The sequence below is a fragment of the Homo sapiens genome, chromosome 1, assembly GCF_000001405.40.
Source record: "Homo sapiens chromosome 1, GRCh38.p14 Primary Assembly".
Classification (NCBI taxonomy): Eukaryota; Metazoa; Chordata; class Mammalia; order Primates; family Hominidae; genus Homo; species Homo sapiens.
Window position 1 is genome coordinate 147,640,649 of NC_000001.11, and position 19,129 is coordinate 147,659,777.

Here is a 19,129-nt window from a genome sequence, read left to right on the forward strand (position 1 = left end):
TACAGGGCAGGACTTGAACTCAGAGCACATGACTCCAAGATCAGTGGTCTCTTGAGTTCTCAGACATGGTGACTGTGGGCCACTGCCCCCCTCCCAATTTCTTCAGGAAAAGGTACATTTTATTTAAAGGCCAAACGGAGAGCGGAATCCTGAGAAGACCAGCTTTTTACTGGGGAAAGTGTTTTTCAGTTCTCCCCAGCCAGCCTTAGACAGGGGTCAGGTTTCTAGAGGCTGGCAGGGTGGACTGGGAAGGGCCGGGCTGCAAAGTCCCCTTGGCCACTAGAGGGCAGGGTCTGAAGAGAGCACACAGCCATCTCCCCGGGGAATTCCCCACCCAGCAGAAGAGACTCATCGCTGCCTAGCAGCCCCAGGACACGCTCTAGCCCAAAGCCGAAGAATGATCCCTTCCTGGCATGTTGTAGACAGGGTAGGTGCCCTTAGCCCACCCCTCCCCCCACAGCCCGCCCAGCCTCCTCTGCAGGTAGATGGCGGTGCCCTAGAGGATTCCAGCTGAGGAAAAGGGGTGCCAGGTGCCACTGACAAAGACCTGAGTTTCCTACAATGAAAATAAACAGGTCAGCACTCCAGGTCCCGGTGCTTCGAGGACTAGGGGAGGGTGGGACGGGAACTCTCTCCTCCTCCCTCTTCAGTTGGGCCCTTCAGGGTTTCTGTCCCCTTGCTGCAGTTTTTAACGATCCACGTGGAACTAACTGTTACAGGGGAATAGGCACATGGCAGTGAAGGGTCTTGTCTAATGACAGTCCTTCATCCCAGGGCCTGCCAGAGCCAAGAGCTCTGTAAGATAAGCCACGAGGCCCTCGGGAAGAGCTATCAGGGGAGCCGCAGATGAAGTCGGCCTTCCCTGGCAAGCCTGGCTCTCCTCCGTCCTGGGAAGCCTTTCACTTTGCCATACACGGGTGAGAGCCTCCTGTGGGAATTCTTTAAACCTCAACAGCACTCTGAGGCCCCTTAGAGAAAGGAGTCAAGGCAGGGACAGGTTAGGAATTTATGAAGAGCTTTTCACACCCTATTTTCCATCCTCAGGACAAATCATCAGGTAGATAAACATTAACTTCCCCGCTTTATAGTTGGGAAAATGGAAGCTCAGAGAAATTAAGTGACATGCCCACAGTCACACAACTGGTGAGTGAGGGAGCCAGGGTTCTGTACAAATCTCCTGCACACACAGGCACAGTGCCCCGGGAAGGGCAGGCGGAGGCGGGGCGCTGCCTGCAGAGGAGCATCCCCAAAGGCTCCCTTGGCTTGCGAAACCTACCACAGTTAAGAATCTCGTGGGAAGTGAGATGAAAGAGAAAAGGGAAAATAAGAATACTTGAAGGCACTTATACGTTTCCTTAATTGATTCTCACAACAACCCTAATTAGTACGTATCATTATGCCCATTTTTACATGAGAGGAAAAACAGGCTCAGAAACACCCGTCCAAGCGTTGCAAGGAAATAAATACGCTGTCAGAATTTGAACCCAGCGAAAGCCTTGGTGTTTTCCTTTACTCCATGCTTCCCCCTGGTGGTGAGTGGAAGGAGAGTGCATAGAAGCCACCTGGGTGCCAACAGAAGAGTTAAGTCAGCGTTCTGAACTCATTTATTCATTCGGTAAATCTTTGCTGAGGTCCACTTTGTACAGTCTCTGCACTTGGTTCTAGAAATACAATAAAAGACAAGACAAACAACCTTCTATTGAAGGACAAACAGAAACACGGGAGGCCTAGAGATAATTGGATTACACAGGAAAAGGGAGTGTGGGTCAGGGGTCAGGTGATGGAAAAATGTGTGCCAAGGTAAAGAGGCCAGAGGAGTGCGATTTCCTTTTTTTTTAAACATACTATAGGTCTGGCTAGGGAGATATGTGAGGGGTGAAGCTGGAGAGGTATGCAGGGGCCAGGTCTCAGGGGGTGATGGAAAGCAAGTGAGGGTATGGCCCATTAGGAAGCCACTGTGGTAACCTAGGAGGGTGGCCTTGGGCCCCGGAGAGAAGTGACAGAGGGGATATGTCATTCAAATGTCCAAGTGTCTGAGCACTGGCATGCACTAGGCACTATTCCAGGTGCTGGGGACACATCAGTGAACAAGAGGAAATCTGCCTTCATGGAGCTTCCATTTTAGTCAGGGAAATAAGCATATAGATACACAAATATGTAATATCCGGCACTGATAAATATCACAGGGCGGGGGAAAGACAAGACAAGTGTATTCATTTGCTAGGGCCTGCCGTAGCAAAGTATCACAGACTAGGTGGCTTAAACAACAGAAATTTATTTCCTCACAGTGCTAGAGGCTAGAAGTCCAAGATCGTGGTGTCAGCAGCATTGGTTTCTTCTGAGGCCTCTCTCCTTGACTTGCAGATAGTCATCTTCCCTCTGTGTCTGTGTCCTCATTTCCTCTTCTTATAAGGATTCCAGTCATATTGGATTACAGCCTACCCATATGACCTCATTTACTTTACCTCTTAAAAGGCCCTATCTCCAAATACATTACACCTGAGGTACATTCAGTCCTCAACATCATTGATAGGTTCTTGGAAACTGTAGCTTTAAGTAAAACAACATATTAGAGAACCAACTGTTTTGCTCATCAGTGTTACAAGGCAACGATGTTGAACAAAACACAATGTTATTCAAGGACCTGCTATATGTCCTTTCACTGAAAGCCGACATTTCCAAGAGCCTATTGATAGCATCAAGTGAGGACTTACTGTACTAGGGGTTAAGATGTCAACATATGGATTTAGGGGGGACACAATTCAGCCCATGACAGAAGGTGGCAGAGTATACCTAAGGCAGGAGGTAGAAGGAGGGCAAGGAGGGCCTCTCTGAGATGACAATGAGCTGAGATCTGAATGAAAAGAGGGAGCTAGCCACGCAAATGTCTAGGAGAGCATTCCAGGCACAGGAACAACAGGTGCTCACCCCGAGGTGAGGACATGGCTCAGGACTACTTGGCATACTCCATCTTCAACGATAGTAAGAATGGGATGGGATGATGGGAAAAAGGGAGATGTTAGTCAAAATGTACAAAGTTTCAGTTAAACAGTAGAAATAAGTTTTTGTGATCTAGTGCACAGCATGGTGACCATAGTTCATAACAGTATACTGTTGTCTTAGTCCATTTTGTGTTGCTATAACAGAATACCACAGATGGGGTAATTTGTAATGAACAGAAATTTATTATCTCACAGTTCTGGAAGCTGAGAAGTCCAAGATCAAGGCACCAGAAGGTTAGGGCCTGGTCTCTCTGCTTCAAAGATGGTGCCTGTTGCTGCATCCTCCAGAGAGGAGGAACACTTTGTCATCATATGGCAGAAAAGCAAAAGAGAAGGAACCCATTCCTGCAAGCCCTTTTTATAATGGCATTAATCCATTAAACATCCCCATTAGGCTCCACCTCCCAGTAACATTGTACTGGGCACTAAGTGTCAACATCAAATTTAGAGAAGACAAAAGCACTCAAACCACAGCGACTGTACACCTGAAAACTACTAAAGAGTATATCTGAAACATTTTCACCACAAGAAAGTGATGAGTAGATGAAGTGATGAATATGTTAATTAGCTTGATTTAATCATTCCCTCATGCATACATATATCAAAACATCACATTGTACTCCATAAATATACGCAATTATTATCTGTCAACTAAAAAGAAAGTAAAAAGTTTTTATTACAAAAAAGAAGAAGAATGGTAAGATGGCGAGTATGGCTGGGGTGCAGTGAGATGTCATAGGACCGTGAGGGCATTATGACTGGCCCTTAGTTTGAGATGAGAAACCAATGGGGAATTTAGAGCAGAAGAGTGGCACGATCTTACTTTGTTTTAAAAGCAACACTGTGTTGAGAATAGATGGGCAGAGAAGGGAAGGGCAGAAACAGGAAGACTAGTTACGAGGCCTTTACAATAATCCAGGTAAAAGATGACACTGGGACTAAGACAGTAGCAATGGAAGTATTGGGACATGGTCAATTCTGGATATAGTTTGAAGAGAGATACAACAGGAGTTACTGATGTAGTAGAGGTAGGATATGAGAAAAAGAGGGGAGTCAAGGGCAGTTCTAAAGTTCTTGGCCAAAGCAACAGGGTGAATGGTGGTGTCATTTACCTAGATGGGAAAGCCTGTGGAAGGAGTAAGTTTGAAAAGGCACGGAAATTGAGAGTTTATTGTGGACAATGGGAAGTTTGATACCTATTGTATATCTTAAACATCCAAATAGAGACATTGATTAGACTGTTGGAAATGAGACTGGGATTCACAGGGAAAGGTCTAGGTTGAAGGTATAAATTTAGGAGACATTGTGTAAATATTTAAAACTGGAAATTCTTTTTTTTTTTTTGAGATGTTATTTCTCTCTTGTTGCCCAGGCTGGAGTGCAATGGCACGATCTTGGCTCAGCACAACCTCTGCCTCCTAGGTTGAAGTGATTCTCCTGCCTCAGCCTCCCAAGTAGCTGGGATTACAGGCACATTGTACTCCATAAATAGACACATACAGCCTTCCGAGTAGCTGGGATTACATCACATTGTACTCCATAAATATAATAATTTTATAAAATTATAATAATTTTATAAAAATATAATAATTTTTGTATTTTTAGTAGAGGCAGGTTTAGTGGAGACAGGGTTTTGCCATGTTGGCCAGGCTGGTCTCGAACTCCTGGCCTCAGGTGATCTGCCTGCCTTGGCCTCCCAAAGTGCTGGGATTACAGGCGTGAGCCACCGCGCCCGGCCTCAAACTGGAAATTCTTGAGATCACCTAGTGGGTGAGTGTAGGGGAAAAGGTGGAAAAAAGGTCCAAGGAGTAAGCCCTGGGACACCCCAACACTTACGGATTAGAAAAAGGTAGATTCAGCAGGAACAAAGTCGAGAAATTGGAGGAAAACCAAGAAAGCATTTGTCGAAGCCAGTGAAGGAAATAGTCTAGGAATACTGATGAGAAGCTTAGTAAGAAGAATGAAAACTGGCTATTGGATTCACCACACAAAGGCTATTGATGATTTTGACAAGAGCAGTTTCCATGGAGTGGTGGGGGTGAATACTTAATTGTAGCTGGTTCATGAGAGAACTGGAAGGGAAGAATTAGAGGTAGCAACTCTTTTGAGGAGTTCTGCTATGAAGGGGAGAAGGAAAAGAGAACAGCAGTTCAAAGATGCAGAGAAAAAAGTTTAAGAGATTTTACAGCATATTTGTATTGCTAATAGAATAATTGGTCAGGAAAAAAATTGACAATCCAGAAAAAAGACACTAGGAGTCAATGTAAAGCTAGAGGGTTGGGCTTTGATAGGAATAGTGTTGGTTCATTCTTAGTAAGAGGGAGGAAGGAAGGCTATAAAAGCACCAATGCAACTGGGTTAGCAGATTTGGTGGTTGGGTGTTGGGGGATGTGGAAGTTTTCTTCTGATCTCTTTTAGATTCTTAGTAAAATAGGAAATACAGTAACCAGCAGACTGAGGATGGGAAGGGGATGCTGAAGATTGAGGATAAAGATATGTGAATAGATTAAAGAAATAAACAGGTAGTATTGATAAAACTTAACTGATTAGACATAGGAAAATGTGAGACAAAGAAAACAAAGACAGATTTCTGATTTGGCAACTGGGTGGAGAGTGGAGGTGTCTTTCATTCAGATAGGGAAGTGTGTGGGAGAAGCAGGTCTGGGAGGAGGGGGGTTTGATTCTAACATGGAAAGTTTTGTGCCAGTGAAATCCAAGTGGATAAAAGTGTCTGAAGCTCAGAAGAGAAACCTGAGCTTGAGATATCTCAGCTCCCTGATCTGGAAGTTGTCAATATTAAGATAGTAGGAAGTGGAGAGGCTTTTGTGGTTGCTGTTTTCTCTGAGAGGTAAAGGGACTGGTGGTTTGAAATCAGAGAAGGGTTGAAATAGATTCTGGAGAAGAACAGCAACATTGACAAGGAGATAGGGGGATCATCAGGTACTCTTAGGGGGCACAGTTAAAGGTGGAGCTCTTATGTTGAGTAGTTCCAGCCTTACCATTGCAGAGCCCTGGGGCCCACATTTGTTTCTGGAACTAAAACCACCAGGGGCCCAGTGTCCTTCCTGCTTCTTCCTGCTGAGCCTCCACATCAGGGTTCCATCTCACCACCCAGCAACGTTCCCTGACCTTGAAGCCTATCCTTTATCTAAACGCAACACGCTTTCATCCTTGCTTTCCTGGTTAACTCCTACCCACCTTTCTCTACTCAGATCAGGCCAGGACTTTTTCAGAAGCCTTCCTTGACTGTTCCCCACATCCCCTGCCATGTGAGCAGGAAGTTTCTTCTCTATACCCAAATAGCCCCTCAAATACCTATTACAGCATAAAACATACAGCACTGTATCACTGATTTACTCGGCTGCCTCTCCCACTGGACTGCAACAACTTGAGGGCAGAGTGTTTTCACCTTTATAATGATCACTACTTAGTAGGTAGCTCAATACATGTGAAATTAATATAGGAGAAAAGAACTAAAGTCCAAAACCGACACAATTCTACAGGGTCATGATGTCCCCAGCCCGTGTCACACAAAGATGCTTCTAACCTTAGAAACCAACTCACAAAATAGAGAAATATCCTTTTGGTCTCAATATTATACCCCTTTTCCGTTCAGGAAGAAATCTTAGTAAACCCACAGAAAGGAAATATCCTTACATTATATTAAAGTACATTACCCCTTGCTCTCTCCTCTTCCCAAACACACAAAGCAGGAGGCATTGTATAAAGGCACTTTATTTTAAAATCAACACATCCTGCTTTTATAAATCAGTTACTCTTCATTTCCAACTTCCATCACCTGAGTTTGAGAGCAGAGTGCGTGGTATTTTTCTGGGCTTAAGGTATAAACTGACATGGCATTCAAGAACATGTCCAGCGGGCAGAGCCCATCAGGGCAACCTCTCGGCACCTGCTCCTGCAGAAGAAACATAACTCAGCAGGTCCGCCGAGGAACCTGTCCTTCTGCTATTTCCAGCTAAGCCCAGAGATCTGAGAGGCTCTGATCCATGTGGTATACATGTGCATACATATTACAGACAGGAAGGCCCCACTACCCGGTGAGCTTCCAGAATAAAAGCACTATGCTCTGCTTGTAAAAGTCACTCAAAAAGTGTTGAATTGACTGGGAAGAAAGAGTCGAGTTACATCCCCGAGCTGGGAGAACCAACAGGCTCATCCCTGGGGCGTGCTCTGGCCTCTGCCCTGGACCCCAGCCCTGATGAAGCAGCCAACACCACGGGTGCTAACAGCAGCACACATCACCTCCCAAAGATACCACCAACAATCTCCAAAACAGGTCTCACAGCCAGGAGGCGACATCCTGACAGGGACGCTCAGGAGAAGAGGAGGGGGACCCTGTTCCTAGGAGTCTGTAACAGAACTGGGATAAGGCTCAAGCCCCATCCTGCCACCATCTGTCAAGTTCTGCCTGACCCCTGGGCCATAGCCAGGAGTTGCCCTATAGGATTCAGAGAGCTGACTGTGCCAAGAGAGACTCCACTGGGCCTGAGGAGGGAGACTTGGTGCTAACTCAGGTAGGTGGGTTTTGCAGGAGGGTGCCTCACCACCACCCAACCCCACCTCAGGGGTATTACCTTCCCGTGGTAATAGAGCTGCACAAACCACTCCTTAGATTCCAGGTGCTGGTAAAGTTCCATGGTCAGGTCAACAGCAAACGGTGGCCATTTGTGGTCAAAAATCCCCAGGGTCATTAAGAGCGGTATGAAGGTCACATCATGAGCCGCATAGAGATACAGCTTTCTGCAAGAGGAAACAGCTCTCCACAATTCTCTGCCTCAGGACTCTGAAGGTCAGGATGTGGCCTGCCTCCTTTACGTAAGACACACTTGCCTCAGAAACTAGGTGACATCTAGAAATCAGCTGAGCCTGGTATAAAAGTCCTTTGCAGTAGATCGTGGGAAGAACCCTTGTTCCCACTCCCCGTGTCTTCATGAGGAGGGTCCCCGCCAGAGAAATTCTCCTGGCCTCCTCCTTGCCACCTACTCACTCCTCCCTGGTGAGTTTCAAAGAAGAAACTGAGCGTGTGTGGCTTAGACCCTACCTCTCTTCTCTCTTTGGGTCCTGCCAGCCTACATGAATGCCCTTCCTACTCTCAGCCATGGGATGAGTTTAGTAGGGCTCCTTGTTGGGGAAGCTTGAAGTTTTGGGGTATTAAGTTTATTTCAAAATAATATTCACAAGCCCATTTGGCCCTCAGCACATTCTCCAAATGGCTTTAATCTGTAATAAGAATGCCATTTTAATCTACATCTGCCTGACACCAGTATCCATCTCTTAGGAAAGACCAAGGATTTTATTTATGGACCCCCATCCTAGAAGACTAGCATTGGATCCTGTGGTGTTCTAAAGATCCAAGGCAGAAGGTGGCAAGGTGGCAAAAGCCAGAAAAAATGTACTGTCATTGCAGGTACTGTGAAGGACAGGAAATGGTATTCACAAGATTTGCTATTACAAATCTTGGCCCAAAGTTCCTGTTTCAACTCACTGTCTCCTATTCCTCTTACGCCATCATGAGTTTCTAGCTGTGATACCACAACAGTGCTTCTCCAAAATTCAGGTGACTATCAATCACCTGGGGATCTTGTTAAACTGCAGATGCTGATTTAGTAGATCAGGCTGGAGCCTGAGAACCTGATGAGTTCTTGGGCAACGGTGAAGCTGTTTTCCTGCAGAACGCACTTAGCAAGTGCCTAGGACACATAATATTCCACAGCCGTAGTCCCAACCTTGGATTCAAGGCTCCAAAAGTGGCAATGGAGGCTCATGAGCTACTTCCAACATTTTTTTTTTTTGAGACAGAGCCTGGCTCTGTCACCAGGCTGGAGTACAGTGGTGTGATCTTGGCTAACTGCAACCTCCGCCTCCTGGGTTCAAGCAACTCTCCTGACTCAACCTCCCGAGTAGCTGAGACTAAAGGTGCGTGCCACCATGCCCGGATAATTTTTGTATTTTTAGTAGAGCAGGGTTTCACCATGTTGGCCAGGATGTTTTCAATCTCCTGACCTCGTGATCCACTCACCTTGGCCTCCCAAAGTGCTGGGATTACAGGCGTGAGCCACTGCACCTGGCCACTTCCAATATTTTTAAATGCCTTATGGATATCATACCTTCTTTACACTCAATGAAAGTGGTTCAAACTACACAATCCATTAAGCAATTTATCTTTGTTTTGGACTATTATCATATCAAATCAGTGTGACATCATAATTGGCTACTGTTTGACATATCTTCAATTAATAAAAAAAAGAGAGAGAGAAAGCAAAAATAAAATTTTCAAAACATGGTAGGAGGGGTGCAGCAGGAAGAAAGGTTAAAAGATTGTGAACCTCTTTGACACTTGAGGCCTGTTAAACATCTACCTTCGGTCACTGACAGCCTGGTTCTTGCCTCACTAAGATTTGGGTTCCCTCCCTACAGCCAGAAGTTCCCACGGCCCTTAGCTGCACAAAGCAGAGTTGCTGTGCCAGGTACCTGATCTTGTCGGGGGCAGTGGCAGAGTCCATGGCTTTCAGCAGGTTGCTCTCTAGGATGTGGAGGAATGGGCCTACTGCCATCTGAAGACTTTCCCTGTGAAAAGTGAACAACATTTAAGCACCTAGAGGGCACTCAGCATTCAGGGGACACAGACTGATTCTGCCCCCAGGACCTCATGAGTCCAGACAGAGCTGAGAAAAAGGCAAGTAATGCATAAGGGCCAGCAACGGGCCAGAAGGAGAGAAATGGCACCGAGTCCGGTCTTGGGGTCCTCTGTGAATGAAGACTCCCAACAACACAGGCACCAGCACACAGACCTGTTGTGAACACAACTGAGATGGGAGGGGCTGAGGGAGCAGGAGAGTGGTAACCTGGATAAGCCGTGACCAACTAGGCCTTGGGGAATCAAAGAACAAAGCTGACAAGCTGGGAAGAAGAAGGGGTAATAATTTCCAGGAATTCTAGAAGGCCCTTAGAAAAATAATCAGAAGGAACAAGAACATCCTTAATTTTGTTTCCTATGTGCCAGCCTTCCTTCTTTTGGAGTTTGGGCCATAAAGACATTTCTTATTTATGTCTTATTTATTTTACAGAAGAAGTTCAGTGGTCGTGCTCCCAGGCTTGGCTGTGTGGCTCCACCACTTTCATTCTCAGGCCTGTCACATCATGGCCACAGGTGACTACTGCAGCTTAAAGCATGTTCACTCACAGTAGTGAACAAAGTCCACTTACTATAGAAGAAAGAAATGTTTCTCATCTACTCATCCTAGCAGCTGATCAGCTTCCATGGAGACTTCAGAGACTGGTCTTCTCCTTGTTTTTGTGCTTCTCACTTTTTATCAAAGAGAAAAAAACACCCCTCCTAGAATTCCCAGAACCCAGCCACTGACAAATGAAAACAAGGTTGCCATGATTGGCTTAGACAAATCCTTATTTGTGGTGATTGGGTAAATGACCATCTTTATAAGTCAAGGAATGTTGCAGCAATGGATGAAGAGCAGGCAACCAACACTGTATGCAACACATACTTTTCAGAAGAATGTATACAGGCAAAGCCAAGTTGGATGGCCTTGTGAGGTTGTAACCATTTGTCCTTGAAGAAATGTTAGTTTTACAAAACCAGGGCTAATTGGAATGGAATAGACAAGGTCCTGTTTAAAATGATTTACACCAGAATAAAGCAAACTATACCATAGGCCAAATCTGACCAGTTTTGGTAAACAAATTTTACTGGCACACAGCCATGTCTATTTGTTTGCATATTGTCTTTGGTTGCTTCATGTTACAAGGGCAGAGATGAGTAGTTGTAACAGAAATTGCATGATCCTGACAGCTTAAAATATTTACTAAATATGTGTGTGTGTGTTGATAAAGGAGAGGGAAGTAAGTAACAATTTAGGTATGGTGGCACCCCTTCACAAGCAGAAAAGGGAAGCTGGCAAGTCCCAGGGAGTGGCAGCAAGCTGTGTGGCTTGGCAGGAACCTTCTAGATGCCCTAGGCTTGCACAGAAGTGGACACACTGACCCTGAGTGGAAGGAATGCAGTCAGGGGCTCTTATCCTTGGGCACCCAACCGTGCAAATTCTTGAACTGTTAGATGCCTTTCCCCCCTACTCATCTTTCCCAGGGCTACTTCCTACCTCCCCTCCTCTATCAAGTCACCTATTTTTAGTGCAAGTTGAATGCTCTCAACAAATCAGAAAAAAAGGTGTCTTCTGAAATTTGGTGAGAGAAAAACTTTCCATTCTGGTAGTCAGGAAACAGAACCCTAACTGCTAGTAATATAGCGAAAACACAGAATAGGCAGTCAGTGGATCTGGGTCCAAGTTCTGGCTCCATCACTTGCTAGCTGGGCCTAGACCAGGTAGGCAATATCTCCCAGCCTCAGTTTCTTTATCTATAAAGCCAGGGAGAAAGGTATCTCTCTCACCTCACAGTGAGAATGTGAAAATGGTTTGCAAATTGTAACATGATGACTAAAGACAGAAATGAATATTCTTTCTTCAGCTCCCCCCACCCAAATCCTTTAAACCTTAAAGCAAAAGGAAAAGGCAAGTGATAAAGTCATGAGGGTGGTGGCTCCTGGTTCTGCATAACAGGGAACAGAAGCACTAGGCCACCAGTCCCAGCTGTAGAAGTGCGAGGACCTAGGGCCTACTGGTAGGTGGGCAGAATGGGGTTCAGCCTCCTTACACGAGGAGACATCAGCTGTCAGGTGTGAGTGGGCCTGATGAACTCCTCTTCCCCATACACTTGGATGTCTGACCAAGCGTGACTTCATGCCAGCAGTGAGAGCCCCTCACCTGTCTTCCTTGGGCAGTATGTACAAGGATGTGTCCACAGCTCTCTGTTCGATCATCCTTGCAAATCTCTTCAGCATGGGGCAGCTTGGGAGGTTGTGTGCCTGAAAGGGCCACATGTAGTTTTAGAAAAAAATGCTTCTTACCTACTGATTCTGGCAGCTGATCAGCTTCCATGGAACCTGCAGGAGCCCATCTTCTCCTGGGGAAGAGAAGACAGGCTCAAGAACAGCTATGTCTGTTAACAGGTCAAGAAGCTATGTCTCTAAAGCTCTTCCAAAGCTATTACTAGATACCTGAAGGCCAGGAAAAAAAAAAAAGAAAGGGTTTCTTCCCTTTCTGATGACTCCCCATCCACTCAAAAATGAAAAGCATTTTTGTTGTTTTTTTGGTTTTTTTGAGACGGAGTCCCGCTCTGTCGCCCAGGCTGGAGTGCAGTGGCACGATCTCGGCTCACTGCAAGCTCCACCTCCTGGGTTCACGCCATTTTCCTGTCTCAGCCTCCTGAGTAGCTGGGACTACAGGTGCCCGCCACCACGCCCGGCTAATTTTTTTGTATTTTTAGTAGAGACGGGGTTTCACCGTGTTAGCCAGGATGGTCTCAATCTCCTGACCTCGTGATCCACCCTTCTCGGCCTCCCAAATTGCTGGGATTACAGGTGTGAGCCACCGCGCCCGGCCTGTTTTACTGGTTTTTTTTTTTGAGATGGAGTCTTGCCCTGTCACCCAGGTTGGAATGCAGTGGCGTGATCTCGGCTCACTGCAACCCCTGCCTCCCAGGTTCAAGCAAGTATTCTGCCTCAGCCTCCTGAGTGGCTGGGACTACAGACATGCACCACCACACCCGGCTAAATTTTGTATTTTTAGTAGAGACAGGATTTCTCCATATTGGCCAGGCTGGTCTCGAACTCCTGACCTTGTGATCCTCCCACCTCAGCCTCCCAAAGTGCTGGGATTATAGGCATGAGCCGCCATGCCTGGCCTGTATTTTTTAACTTAAAAAAAAAAGATGAATAAAATACAAAGCAAGGAATTCATAAATTCCTACTTGATCTTCATTTTCCCAAAATGAAGTCTAAAAAATACGCCATACAAATACATGATATGAACTCTTGCCTTCTAACCTTAAACCTATTTTACACATAAAAGCAAGGTGCATTTCTGCCTTTAGGGTACACAGTCATTTTATTTTCACAAGAGTGGGGAGGATCCTATATAACTTTGGATGTCCAACTTTTAAATCTAGAGAAACCTTTCCCATTGTTAGTCTTCTTTATGTATTTATTACAGAAAAAAAGATCCTATGGCTAAATAAGCTTAAGGAAAACAGATTTAAAGATTAACCAGCTTTCTTTATGAAGGGCATCTCAGATTTTTTTAATATGCTGATGTACATATAGTACTCTCAAGAAGTGATGCAATAAATAAGGATTCCAAAATTTTTAGACCCTACTCATCCCTCCCTACCCATTGCCCCTGCCTGCCCAAACACAAACTGCATATTGGGTGTTCTGGGGAACATGCCTCAAGAAGCTCTGGTCTAGAGTTCAGTGTCTGTGTTCCTACCTGGGTAAGGAGTCTTCCTCGATTGCTCCCTATCCCTCAGTCCCCACACCCATTCTATCTGTAGGTCTTATCACAGTTGCCTTCAAACCAGGAGGCCTCCACCCACTTCTCTCCACCCGGTTCTAACTCCGGAGCCAGCCCACCAAGGCTATTATCCCAGGCTCCCCAACCCCAGGACTCACCTGCTCGGCAGCCACGTTGTCCAGGAGGATGAAGAAGTCCACTTTATCACTACTGTCAATGCCCATCCTGTCCTTCACCTTTTTCAAATCCTCTGAGATTCCTGGCTGTAAAGAGGCAGTCTGCCTCCGGCCTCTGACAAAAAATAAAAAGTAAAGCCTTATATTCTATAGTGATTAACAGTTTACAAAGTGTGCTTCACACTTGGGTTATCATTTGGGATATCATTTAATCCCCACAACCCAATGGGGTTAGCTGGTATTATCCCAATTTTATAGATGAATAAACTAAGGCTCTATAAGGTCAAATGACTTATAACGTTAAGTTAGCAAGTACCAGGGTTAGGATAACAGGATGAAATTTTCCAAATCTCACTCTAGCATTTGCATTGCATCAAAAATGATGCAAGCATGGCCCAGGTCTGTCTGAAAACAGCATTTTCTTTTCTTTACGGAATAAATACCATATAGTCTTAGTGCAGCCTAGAGATACCTGAAAAGTGTCATCAGCCCAAACCGATCTATCTTACATAGAAACATATTGGTAAGAGAAGAAAAATCTGTGTCTTGTTGGGCTTGTACAACTGGATTTGCCGGTTAAAGACAGTCTCAATCATCTTTTATTTAACCTGTTGGTTTTCTCATTTGCCCCACCTGAGAGACCGGGGTTGTCAGAAGGATCATACTTTGTAAATGGCAAAGGCCCACTCGTGGCTGTATGTATCATCTCGCTAGCCCAGTGTGCGGCTCTTCCCAGAATTCCTGGCCTTCACCATGGGTCTGTCATTGTGAACAAGACTTCTTCGCTTCCTAGACAGCTGATGTCACACTTAAGTGTAATTTAAACCTTCCCATCCATTATTCGCCAGTAGGGTAAGCCTGGACAGGCCCTCAGTATAGACAGAGTTCTGCCAGCAAAGGTTGTAAAAGGTTGTCCCCAACTGGTGAGCAAGAACCCAGGGGCAGTTACCTGGTTCTCTGCCTCAGGCTCCAGCAGCTTTGGTAGTTGGGATACAAGACTTCTGAATCTGCTTCATCAGTGTGGATGATGATGGGTCCTGGAAGAAAGGGAGGAAGCACAGGCAGGCAGAGGCTTCAGCTTGTTCTTCCCAGCATCTCCACCCCCTTCTCTTTGTCTACAGAGATGGAGCAGAGATCTGCTCTGAGAGGCAGATCATCAAGGTTACTCCTTAAGGACAGAAAATGCCTTCAACATGCCCTGGCCCTGCCAAAGGAGGCTCTCCTATAATCTGAGCAATGAAAAAAGTTAGTGGCAGCAGCCTTGTTCTGTCTAGCGCAAGCCCTCCTATCGGGCCACAAATAGACTAGAGCAGGTAATAGACCTGAAACAGACTGGCAACTCCCTGACACCTTCCAAAAAATCCCTGCTGTAAAGCACTACCAGCATTTGGGCATTCTAATAAATAATAGTGTTATCAGAACTAAGTTGCTTCCTGAAGCCTGATCCTATAGGCCACTATGGTGACTTATCACATAACAAACTGAGAAAAGTGGACACAAGGCCACAGATCCTCTCAGAGACCCCATAGCCTTGCCCAAAATAAAAAGCCAGGCTTTTAGATGAATTGCTGGTCTAACCAAAGATCTAACCAAAGAAACTACAATGTTTCTCATATATCTCATGGCAGCTCATTGCTATTCAGACCCCCTCAGTACCATTGTCCCCTCCCGTCAATGCCCAAAGAAAGTGTCCTAACGCCTTCCCATGCTTTGCTCTGTGTCAGAGATGGCAAGTGCCATCTCTGTGTGGTAGGTTCTTTTTCCACACTGCTCAAGCCTGATGGCAAAAGAAGGAGCTCCCCAGCAGCAATTTGGGATTCACTGAGGTCCATCTACAGAGTGATCAGCTGAATCAAAGTCCCAAAGGGGTATTTATTCCCAAATTATTGATAGTCAGAACCAAGGGCTTTAAAAATAGCCTATAACTTTACTAGAATATCAGAATTCACACACACATCGTTGGTCTGGACAGAAGAAGAAACCACACTGAAAGTCATGAGTTTAGTCTTCAGTCCAGAACTAACCAGCAGTCGCCCTGGGAAGTCACTACCATTCTCTGGGGTTCATCTGTAAATCAAAGGGGTAGGACTATATCAGCCACAGAACCTCCTCCAACCTACGGCTATTATGTAAAGTATAATAATAAAAGAAGAGGTGCTGATGGCTGCAAGGTGGAGATCGAAAGCATAGTCCACTTGCATGTCCCATCCCCTCCTTTTCTGTGCTTCCTCAGACCCCTCTGAAGAATCCTGGGGTTCTGCAAGATTTGTTGTGAAAAGGAAAAACCAAATGATCCGATGCCGCCTCCAGATATACATGTCCTCAAATAAACAGTTGAGCATAAAAGGAAAAAGTAGGATTCTGAACCAAGACTGCCAGAGTTTGAATCCTAATTCCACCATTTACCAGTTTTGTGTCCCTGGGCAAGTCACTGAGCCTCTCTGTGTCTTGGTTCTCTTATCTGTAAAAGGGGATAATGACACCTATCTTATAGGGTTACTACAAGAATTAAACAAGTTAATATATGCGAAGTTCTTAGAACAAAGTTTGCTGCATACAATTGGTCCTCCATGTCCTTGGATTCTACATCTATGGATTCAATCAACCATGGATTAACAATATTTGAGTAAAAAAGAACAATACAAAATAACACAATAAAAATAACATAAATTAGAAAATAGTACAGGGTAATACACAGCATTTACATTGTATTGGGTATTATGTCATCTACAGATGATTTGAAGTACATGGGAGGATGGGCATAGGTTATATGCAAAGCTATGCCATTTTATAAAAGGGACTTGAGCATCTGTAGATTTTGGTATCTGCCCGGGGAGAGGGTTGTCCTGGAATCAATCCCTTTTGGATACTGTGGAATGACTGTACTAAGTCCTTTATGTGTTAGAATAACTATGACTTAAACTTATAACACTAATAATATTATAAACCTCTAATATTTCCATCTGGAGTCTGATATTGGTGTCTGGATTTTGGACCCAGTTTATGATAAATAAGGCACACTTGAGTAGACAAATGTACATTGAGCAAATGACTTGGCCAGTGGGCAGACCAACAATCTCCAGCTTTCCCCACAGCCTGATTCTCTGTAGCCTATACGTAACCACTGGGATTTTTCTAGGATTTTACTCCTAAAGCAATATCCCAAAGTTGCACCATTTCCATCAACAGTGCCACCTTCTGGGATTCTTTTTTTGTTTGTTTGTTTTTTGAGATGGAGTCTCGCTGTCACCCAGGCTGGAGTGCAGTGGTGCGATCTCGGCTCACTGCAACCTCCGCCTCCCGAGTTCAAACGATTCTCCTGCCTCAGCCTCCTGAATAGCTGGGATTACAGGCGCCCACCACCACGCCTGGCTAATTTTTGTATTTTTAGTACAGATGGGGTTTCACCATCTTGGCCAGGCTGGTCTTGAACTCCTGATCTCATGATCCACCCGCCTCAGCCTCCCAAAGTGCTAGGATTACAAGCGTGAACTACTGTGCCTGGCCCCTTCTGGGATTCTTTGTTCAAGTCCCTTCATATAGGAAAGGCATGGAAGTAGCTACAAAAGAAGCCAATCTGGAGTCCCAACAACTGTAGGTCCAGCGCAGGGAGCTGCTACCCAGACACCTGCACCTGAGGCTAGTGATTTCCTTCCCTGATGGAAACCTGGGATATTCCCAGTCTGGGACCTGCCTAAAGAGAATGTTGCCACCAATAAACATCTTTCCTTCTCAGTACCACTTCTGATGTTTCTGAGAAGATCTTTGCCTTTTAGAAGCTGAGCAGTTGAGAGCTTTCAGAAGATCAGGTGCTGTGGATCACTCCTAAACTCAAGGCTTCCCAAGAAGTAAGGGGCAGCCCATCCTGCTTTATGTGACCTAGACACGTACTGTTTGTGTGCAGCAGCCAACTACAGCCAGAACTAGCAGCAGTATCCAACCCAGTTGAGGGCAAGACCAGATTCCTCTTTCCTGAAGGTTCCATTATTTTACATATTTCTTAAAAAATGTGATGGAAATTTTGTTTCTATTTGAGATACTGCCAAAAAGCTAAACAAAGTAACAAGAACCTTTGCTTTTTGGCACCTTTTTAATAAGGTCATGATGATCTGAAACTCAGACCAGTAATTAAATGTAAATTTGAGCCAATAACAAATGACAAAATGCAGCTTCATGTGATGGCCAAAGGCTCTCAACACATGGGATCCATGAGGGAAAATAATTAATGCAGTCCTTGGGGATGAAAAGGTTGGGAACCACTGACTGCAACCATTCAGGGGCTGAATGTATCAAAACCCAAACTCGATGGACTTTCTCAACTAGGAAAGGCTAGACGGAACAGTGTTCATGCTGTGGATTATCACCAAGATTAGGGCAGTAGCAGCAGTGTTGGGTCCCAGTGTCCTTCCTTTCCAGCAATGTCTCACCTAAATAAAAAGCCCCCTCGATTGTTCACAAAACATGGTTAGGACTGCCTTGTGCAGCTTGTGTAGAAGCTTGAGGGGAGAAGCCAGGAGCCAGAGGCAGATCAGAGCAGCTGCTACACTGCTGCTGCTGTGGAGGTCAGGCTGGCAGGGGCACCATAAGGCCAGACAGGGAAAGACCCACTGGACTAGGTACACACTGGAAGTCACACATGCAGGAGAAAAAAAGTCAAGGGAACAGGCACCAAGAAAGAGATAGGGGCTTCGGAAGTGAGAAGCAAGACCCCTCAGGGACAGGGACTGACTGGGACCCCAAATACGAACCTTCTTTCTGACACTGGAAAAGCCCAGCCAGCAAACAACGGGTGGACTCCAGATTCCGAAAAATGTTAGTGGAACGAATACTGAAAAAAATGAGAAAATAGTGACACTCATAAAAGGAATATTTAATTATATACACTCTATTTTATTCCACATACGCTCCAGGGGTCTTTCAAGAGTACATAAGGAGAGCTATGGAACTAGGAAGAATGCTTCACTTTTCTGTGGGATGTCAGCCCCTGAGAGACTCGAAGTGCAATGAATGCGACCTCCAGGAACGACCTGTTCACCAGATCCTGTGACATAAGGGTATGCAGCATGACAAGTTGTCCCCCAAACTACCTTGGGTGACAGTGGGAACCATCTTGGGGAGTCAGGACAGGTATCCTCATGTTCAAGACCTTAAATTAAGTGCAACATCCCCTTTCAAGTGACTCACAAGACCTCCTGTGGGTTGAAGGTTGGTGAAAGAAAGGGAATGTCTTCCACATAGTTCTTCCTCAGTCTCTCTCCCAAGGCAAACATTTGCTGCATGCCCACCTTGGTCAGCTGCCCAGCAAACATGCCCCCCTAAAGTAGGGAAGAAAGAGAAAGAAGAATGAAAACACCTGACAGCCTGCTGAACTCAGCCCAGAGAAAACAACCCAACCTTTGCAGTGGGGCTCCCCAGAGCAAGGAAGCATTGCTCACCTTCAGGGTGGTCTCATGGTATTGAGAGTCGTAAGGAGAATATGGTTTCGGACCACCAGCTAGATTGGTGACTGTGTAATCAAACTGAGTTTGGGGTGGGACCTCTAATAGCTGGGGGTTCCACTCTACCT

At 45.4% G+C, this 19,129-nt stretch overlaps 1 protein-coding gene across 7 annotated transcripts in view, besides 1 other annotated feature; it reads right to left on the reverse strand.

Annotated features, from left to right (window-relative positions):
* Positions 1-19,129, reverse strand: part of ACP6 (acid phosphatase 6, lysophosphatidic) — a 40,867-nt gene that overhangs the window by 10,991 nt on the left and 10,747 nt on the right. For 2 of the 7 annotated variants that reach the window (NR_136633.2, NR_136636.2), the window contains exons 2-9: positions 18,999-19,127; positions 18,748-18,878; positions 18,312-18,391; positions 14,513-14,600; positions 13,546-13,678; positions 11,944-11,999; positions 9,495-9,590; positions 6,720-7,763 (exon numbers count right to left, since the gene is read on the reverse strand). Coding sequence is in view for 3 of the 7 variants with exons in the window: in NM_016361.5 (NP_057445.4) it covers positions 6,775-6,918; positions 7,598-7,763; positions 9,495-9,590; positions 11,801-11,901; positions 13,546-13,678; positions 14,513-14,600; positions 18,312-18,391; positions 18,748-18,878; positions 18,999-19,127 (1,068 nt within the window). In the remaining 4 variants the exon portion in view is untranslated. Of the gene's footprint in view, positions 1-1,581; positions 7,764-9,494; positions 9,591-11,800; positions 11,902-11,943; positions 12,000-13,545; positions 13,679-14,512; positions 14,601-15,969; positions 16,025-18,311; positions 18,392-18,747; positions 18,879-18,998; positions 19,128-19,129 lie in introns of those variants that run through there. The other 5 variants (NR_136635.2, NM_016361.5, NR_136634.2 and 2 more) reach the window with 5 other exon arrangements.
* Positions 706-1,207: an enhancer, noted in NCBI's record as "H3K4me1 hESC enhancer chr1:147113153-147113654 (GRCh37/hg19 assembly coordinates)". NCBI's record gives its function as "activates a minimal SCP1, AML or CMV promoter by ChIP-STARR-seq in primed H9 embryonic stem cells {active_cell/tissue: H9 hESC(primed)}" and the evidence as "EXISTENCE:reporter gene assay evidence [ECO:0000049][PMID:30033119]".